Genomic DNA, 7109 nt, shown 5'->3' with positions numbered 1-7109 from the left:
TGGGTACCTTGGCCAGTAGCTCACTGGCCCTTCTTTGGAGGGATCACTTATAGAGACGGGAAGGGCTGTGACTTGGGAGTCTCCTCTCCTTTCAGAGCTTTCTTCAACCCCAAGCTGGATATGGTCTCCTAAGAGAGCAGGAGCCCCAGAGAAGTGGGTGGGTGTCTGGAGGGTTACCCTGAGCCTGGTGCCAGCCACAACGGGGCAGATATTCTAGGTGATGACTTACAATCCCTGGGGTTCCAAACTAAAGGTAATTATGAGAATAGGACAGTTATTTTGATTTGAGTTCTAGATGTTCATTCAAACATTCAACAACTATTTCTTAAACTCTGAGCTATGTCCTTGGGATGCAGTGGTGGAGCTTCAACTACTGCTTTTATGGAACTTGTGGTCAGGTTTCTAACAAGAAATAGGAAAGAGATTCGAGGTGAGCACACCAGGGAGACAGATAGGCTTGCCCAAGCAAGCCCCATAAGTCAAAAAGGGGGTAACAAGTGTCCACGAGAAATCTGGAGGTGAAGGTTGTGTCTCACTCCTCTTTCTCTTTCTATAACACATGCGTGCACACACCATCGTGTTCACCGACATGCAGATTATTATCTCAAATAAATGCTCACTGAACAGCCATAAATGAACAAGACCACGCTGTGGCAGAACAGTAAGGGACAGCTTTGTAAAACCTCAATTAACCAGCATGCCTTAGGCTCGGGCTGTCTTGGGAGTGTTTCTAGCACTTGGCGTCTGCTCTTTGCTCTCACTCACTCACAACTTGGTCTGTGTGCCTCGATGGACCAGGCAAGTAGAGGCCAAGGAGAGGTCGCCCACATGTCCTCAGATAGCTCATTGTCCAGATACACCTAATTGCCAGGGTGGGGAGTGGCATTGTCAGCCTGGCGACCCCGGGATCAAGAAACGCAGGGCACTGTCCTGGAGATAGTGGCACTGGCATTCAGAGCGTCACCGTTCCTTCTCTCCCATGGGGCAGGTTAGGATTTGGCATAAAATGATCCAAATGAGCAGCTGGTTTGAGGTAGGCGCGCCTGATATTGGCAGCTCCTCTCTCGCTGGCCAGGTCTGCGGGGGCACCCACAGACTCCACAAGAGGCCGCCCAAATAAAGGGTCTAGGCCTCGAGAGGGAAGGGCGGGCTAGAAGCCACGGGGGGCAAGAGTCGAGCCCCATCTGCGCCAAGTACGCCAGGTTTCCCTAGGTCTGACCGCCCTGACGGGCCTCGCCACACCCTGGCTCTCCCCCACCTTCGTTCCTTTCCGCCCTGTCGGTCGGACGACTGCGCTGTGCATCGGTGTCTCGCGAGGTGGAGGAAGGGACTGGCATCTAGGTTTAAAAGACCAGAAACAAATGTCCCCTGACAATTTCTGTCATTTTCTGGATTCAAAAGAGGGGTAGAGTGGGGAAGACAGACGCAGCGGGGCAGCGAGACACGGTCCCCCCCGGGGGGCTCTCAGGGGTACGGCGAGGAGGTTCTCTCCTGCCCGGGTGCGGGCTCGGGTGGGCGGGCGCACGCCCCCCAGCCCCGCAGCCCCGCGGGCCCCGCATGACATCAGAGGCTGGGGAGCGCACAGAGCGCAGGCGCCGGCGGAGGAGGCAGGCGGGAGGGGGCCGACTGGCGCGGCTCTGGAGAGCGCTCCTCCGCCCCGCGCGCCGTCCCTGCGCCCCGCTCCGCCCGCGCCTCTCTCCCAGCGCCGCGCCTCGGGCGTAAAGAGCGCGCCCCTCGCACCGCAGCCAGTGCCGACCGCAGCAGCCCAGCCCCAGCCTTCCTCCGCCTCCGCCTCTCTCTCCTCCTCCTCCTCCGCCGCCGGACACGCAGCCGCAGGCCGGGACCGGGACGCAGCTGGGGAGTCAGGGACGCGCGCAGCCAGCCCTTCCCCCTCCGGCTCCCGCACCGCCGGCCGCCTCCCCTCGCCCTCCTACTCTCCCCTCCCTGCTCCTTCGCTTTTTCCTCCTCCTCCTCTCCCGGCCCCGGCTGCCAGCACCATGTCCGCAGGGGGAGATTTTGGGAATCCACTGAGAAAATTCAAGTTGGTGTTCTTGGGGGAGCAGAGCGGTAAGTACCCGGCTTAATCTCTTGGCTTGTCGCCGAGTCGACCCCCGCCGCCCAATCGCCCACCCCATTGGGACCCCCGGCCCAGGCTCGGAAAGGCCCCTCCTTGCCAGGGTAGAGGAGAGGGACAGGGATGGGGAGGTCGGGGCGGGGTCGGGCTGGGGAGGGGCCAAGGGTGAGGACGGAGGAGGCGCTGGAGCCTGGGGTGGAGGTGAGGGTGGGCTCTGGGTGGGGGGCCCGGGGTGTGGGTGCAGGTGCGGCGCTGCAGGGGGCCCGGAGGGCGGCGGCTGGCTCCGCGGCGCTGGCCAGGGCGTGAAGGAACCGGGCTCGCTGGCTAGCTCACACTGCGGCACCGGCTGCGGGCGACCGCGCAGGTGGCTGGGTGCTGGCGGGGGTGGGGAGAGCGACGGGCGCCCCCCTTGGAGAACGAAGCGAAGCTGGGGTCTGGCCGGGCCTCACTCCGCTGCACTGGAGGGGTGTTCCCTGCGGACCCTGCTGGGAACCATGCGAAAGGGCACGTCCAGGGCGTGGGACAAACAGCCACCGGGGAGAAAAGAGCGACACCTGTCTCTGCTCGAAAGAGCGAGTGCAGGCCATGGGGGAACGGGGAGCCTACCTCCCCTGGCTCACGTCCGACTGGGCACAGAAGGTTCTAGACCCGCTGCCCTTCGCCGGCGCTTGTTAGTCTCCTTGCTGCCCAGGGATCTGGGCAATTGCAGTGAGGGCTACCCCAACTCGAGGCGATTTGGGGAATGATACAGGGGCACCTCACACCGAGAGGCTGTGAAGTCTGGCTCTGGGCAGAGAAAGGCCCAGGCGACACGCCCTGCCTAGCTTCCCAGCACTCCTCCAGAGAGCATCGGTGGATTCTTCCCACCCCCACCTCCCAGCTCACCGCCCTTCTTGGGGGAGGGGAGGTCACCCTGGCAGTCGGCCAGAGCTGGGGGAGGGGGAGACTGCTTCTCCGCTGCCCGGCTCCCTCCCCAGGAAAACATCTCTGAAAACCAGGTTAGTCCCTAGAGGCGGGAAGCCCAGATTGAAGGGCAGGGACCCCTCTGCCACCTGTAGGAAGGAGTGGCTTTCAGAGCATCCCTCCAGAGGCCTCTCGCATGGGGCTGCAGGGAGACAAACTGAGCTCTGGTCAGCTCTGCTCTGGGAGAAGGCTGTCCTTGCGGGACAGGACCCCAGCTCTGCCTCTGCAGACCAGTCCTGTTCACCTGGGTTGGTGCCTCTCTGACAAGGGGGCCCAAAAGAAAGGCAGCTGTGGGAGGACTGGGTGGGCCCAGGAACAGTGCTACTGTGCTGTGTGTACATGAGGGTTATGGAGGTCACGTGGCTGGCTCTTGTCTGCTGATACTCATTGCCTAAGATGGATGGTTCAGAGAAGGACGTTAGAAGGTAGTGTCCAGGCCCAGTATGGAGATGGGTTTGGGGGACAGGCTGGGCATTTCAGAAGAAGATCCACTCAGCCAGCCAGCGTTTGCCCTGGATTCTGATTGCCTGTTTTTAATAGATCCCAGTTTCATAGAGCTGACCATACCCTGTGTCTGGAAGGGATTTTGGTGGTATTCACATCCCAGTGCTAGTCTCACCCGGCCTGGAGCCCTGGGAGATAACCTGCAGGGATCAGGCAGCCTGGGGGTTGAATTCTTAGCTGTGTTGTCTTTAGTAAAATTTGAGGCCTCTCTGTGACTCACTTTCTGTCTCTGAAAAATGGTTGCTTGAAGACAATTCTCTTACTTCTTCATGTTTCTTTAGTGCCTCTCAAAGTGCCTGGCCCCTGGTAGGTTCTCAGCAAACATTTGTTCTAAGTCTGCACAAGCTTCAGAAAGGACTAGGAGTTTGGTGAAGAAAGTGTCTCTGGTGAGTTTGAGGGAACATCTGGGCTCCTTCAGAATCCCTGATGAACGGAGGCCCCTGCTGGGCTCCACAGACCCCCTTTGCTCCCAAAATCACAGAAATGAGAGCTGAAGCCTAAGAAATGAACCCACCACCTCTCCCATATGTTCAAATGGGAAGTCTGAGCCCCAGGGAACAGGGAGGCCTTGCCTGGAGTCCCAGAGTCCCATTGTGAGTTGCTAATGCTTCTGGGCTGGAGCCCCACCTCTCATTTCCAGTCCAATATTTTTCACTAGCGTGTCATTGTGAAGTAAGATGACCTTGAATTGGGGAAGCCAACAACTGGGGAGCCTCCCCAAGAGGGAGTAAGGGTTGCTTCTGTCCAGCCAGGCTTATAGTTGGGGCTTGTGACTGGTAGGAATGCTGAGTAGTTGGTAAGGAGCAGGGTTGTGAGCCCTTGGAACATGGTCATTAGAGAGTCACTGCTATCAGTGAGATGGGCTGCTGGCCACCCTGGTGCCTTCTGTCAGGGAGTCCCAAGGCCCTGAAAAGCCTGTTTCCAATTTGTTGCATTGTTAGTGGGTTCTTTTAGGTTTTACACAGCTTTTGAGTTAGGTAGGGGACATGTATGTGCATCTCTAAGCCTTATGGGATGGGGAGTCACCTCCACAGCCGCTTCTTCTACCTTGCCTGCACAGTTTTGCATCTGTTGGTCATTTGTGCCAGCATTCTCTGCAGCCTGTGCAGTGGAGAGAGCCACCTGAGGGCTGGCCCTCACGCTGGCCCTGGCTCGCTCTTTTTATATGACCTCAGAGGTCCCTTATCTTCTGTGCATGGGGGACTTGGGCCAGCTGAGCTCAGCGGAGTCTTTCAGAGCAGCATGGGCTTGCCGATATGAGCCGAGTGCCCTGGAGATGGGCCAGGGGAAGGAGCTGGAGGGATGTGGCTTTATCTTATTTCCTGTGCCTAGCATAATGGTGGCATTTCTCTAGCCTGGTGGGCAAGGGCAATGGATTCCCAAGAAGAGTGGCGTGCATGGACCAGGGTGTGGAGCACACCCTGGGCCAGATAATCGCAGGTGGACATCAGGTCTTTGAAGATACCAGGGAACTGGTTTGAATGGGAGGCCCTTGAGAAGCCACTCTGGAGGAAATACCTCAAGCCAGTGAAAGAGCCCCCCTCCTGGCAGCTGTCCCCCTGGCCTGTGGAATATAGGCTGGCTGACAGTGTCAGCTTGGCACAGGCTGGGATTGTGGGGAGGGTGCTGTGGACCCAGGATGAGAGATTTCCTTGTGGCAGGGAGGCTGTGGAGTCCCCCTGGTGCCAGATGGCTCTCTGGGCCTATTGGGTATGCCCCTGTGCTGATGGCAGTGGTAGGAGACATGGGAGGGTGACATATGTCAGTCCCGACTGGGGCATTTGATGGCGTCCGAGAAGACAAGCAGGAGCAGGTGTTTGAGGAGGGGAGAGTGGGCCTGTGGGACCCACGTCTTCCTCCTAAGCTCTAATGGCATTCTGTCGGCTTTTAGGCCTCACTTGGCACATCTCAGTGTGTGTGGTGGGAAGGGTCAGGGATGCGTCTGCTGTGCACTGTCTTCTTCTGACCTCCCCTTCCCCAAGACTCTTCCAGCAAAAGCAGGAAGACTGGATGGAGACGCAAAAGCTCTGTCTGCTTTCCTAGCTGAGGACGGCAGGCCAGTTTCTCGCTCTGACCAGCCACCTGCCTGCCCTGCCCCTGGTATTGTGCTGCTGGAGGTGCTGTCCATGTTGAGCATACTGTGAATAGCATTCCTTGGAGCTGTGCAATGAAGCGACTATGCAGGCAGCTGCCTTTTTGTTGCTCAGTTGTTTAGTCATTTGTTCATGTATCCTTCCGTCCCACTCCTTCTCTCTCCTGTCCTCCCTCCATTATCTGTTTATTTATTTATTCTTTGAGCGTATTCCTGCCCTCCTGGAACTTATAGTCCACTGGGAGCACAGACATTTGTGGATATAATTACAGTAAAGGTCTATGAGAGCCATGATGAGAGAAGAACAGCTGCTACTGGGGCCTAGAGCAGGGGCGCCTGACCCGCCTCTGGGGGCTGGTGTCAGAGGCAGCTTCCGTAGGCTAGCAAGGGATGCTTCTATAGGCAGTAGGCTACTGCTACTTCATCTTTGGGCTGTGTGTAGAAAGTAGGTCTTGGAACAAGCCCACCCTACCCAGAGGGCCTTGCCTGTTCTTCTGCTCTGCCCTGTAGAAAGTGTATGAGGTGGAGGTTCAGAGGACAAGGGTGACTCTCAGGTATCTGGCTTGGTGGTACTGAGTTGGGGCTGTCCCTGTACTTTCAGCCCATTCCTCTGTGGTTAAGGGTTAATGATCATTCAGTGGCCCCCACTGCCTGGAAGGCTCACTCCTCTGCCCGCAGCCTGACCCATCCTGACCCCTGCCCTCCCACTAGCCACACCATGGAACACCTGCCCTCCTGCAGGGAGCCCTTCATCAGCCTGGTAGATGTGCCAGCAGCCCCTCCTAGCAAGTTTCCTCCTCCCACCAATTTCCAGACTTACCTGCTCTTAGGTGCTCACTTCCACTCCTGCTCCCCTGGGCTACCAGCCCACCTGGCCACACACCATGGCATAGCTTTGGTTTTCTCTGAACATTTCTTAAATACAATACAATCATATGCTTCCCCATGACCTGTCTTCTGTTGTCTCTGTTAGCTAAGGATTTTAAAATGTTAACTTTTTCAGGTACAAAAACCGTAATTGAATTTTAAGCATCTTCTGAGGTCTATGTCTTAGTCATCATTTCACCCCTCCCCACCTGCAGGTAGTTTGTGCTTATTAAGTATCTTGATTTGAAAATGATGAGATTATCCTTGCTGTGTGAGATTTGCTGATGGCCCATCAGTAGATTAAAAGTGAAGGAAGTTGAGGTGGCTTGAAATAGGATTCCTATTTCAAATTCCTGACACCTGCTGCTTTTTTAAGCCAGATTTTTTACCAGCAATATCTTAAGAATCTTGGCTTACTGCAACCTCCGCCTCCCGGGTTCAAGCAATTCTTGTGCCTCAGCCTCCCGAGTAGCTGGGACTACAGGCCCACACCAATACGCCCGGCTAATTTTTGTATTTTTAGTAGAGATGGGGTTTCACTATGTTGGCCAGGCTGGTCTCGAACTTCTGACCTCAAGTGATCTGCCCACCTCAGCCTCCCAGAGTGCT

General features: G+C 56.6%; 1 protein-coding gene across 2 annotated transcripts in view, besides 1 other annotated feature; it reads left to right on the top strand.

Annotated features, from left to right (window-relative positions):
- Window positions 1563-1612: a silencer, noted in NCBI's record as "silent region_14750". NCBI's record gives its function as "represses an Ori minimal core promoter by ATAC-STARR-seq in GM12878 lymphoblastoid cells {active_cell/tissue: GM12878}" and the evidence as "EXISTENCE:reporter gene assay evidence [ECO:0000049][PMID:35858748]".
- The window catches only part of RAB6B (RAB6B, member RAS oncogene family), a 71648-nt gene continuing 66120 nt past the window's right edge, over window positions 1582-7109 (top strand). The window contains exon 1 of one of the 2 annotated variants that reach the window (NM_016577.4): window positions 1582-2067. In NM_016577.4, coding sequence (NP_057661.3) covers window positions 1998-2067 — 70 coding nt within the window. In that variant the 5' untranslated portion in view covers window positions 1582-1997. The remainder of the gene's footprint in view (window positions 2068-7109) is intronic. The other variant, NM_001363953.1, reaches the window with a different exon arrangement.

The sequence above is a fragment of the Homo sapiens genome, chromosome 3 (assembly GCF_000001405.40).
Source record: "Homo sapiens chromosome 3, GRCh38.p14 Primary Assembly".
In the NCBI taxonomy this organism is placed as follows: Eukaryota; Metazoa; Chordata; class Mammalia; order Primates; family Hominidae; genus Homo; species Homo sapiens.
Note: the sequence above shows the minus strand (reverse complement) of the source record. Positions and strands in the feature narration are given on the sequence as shown.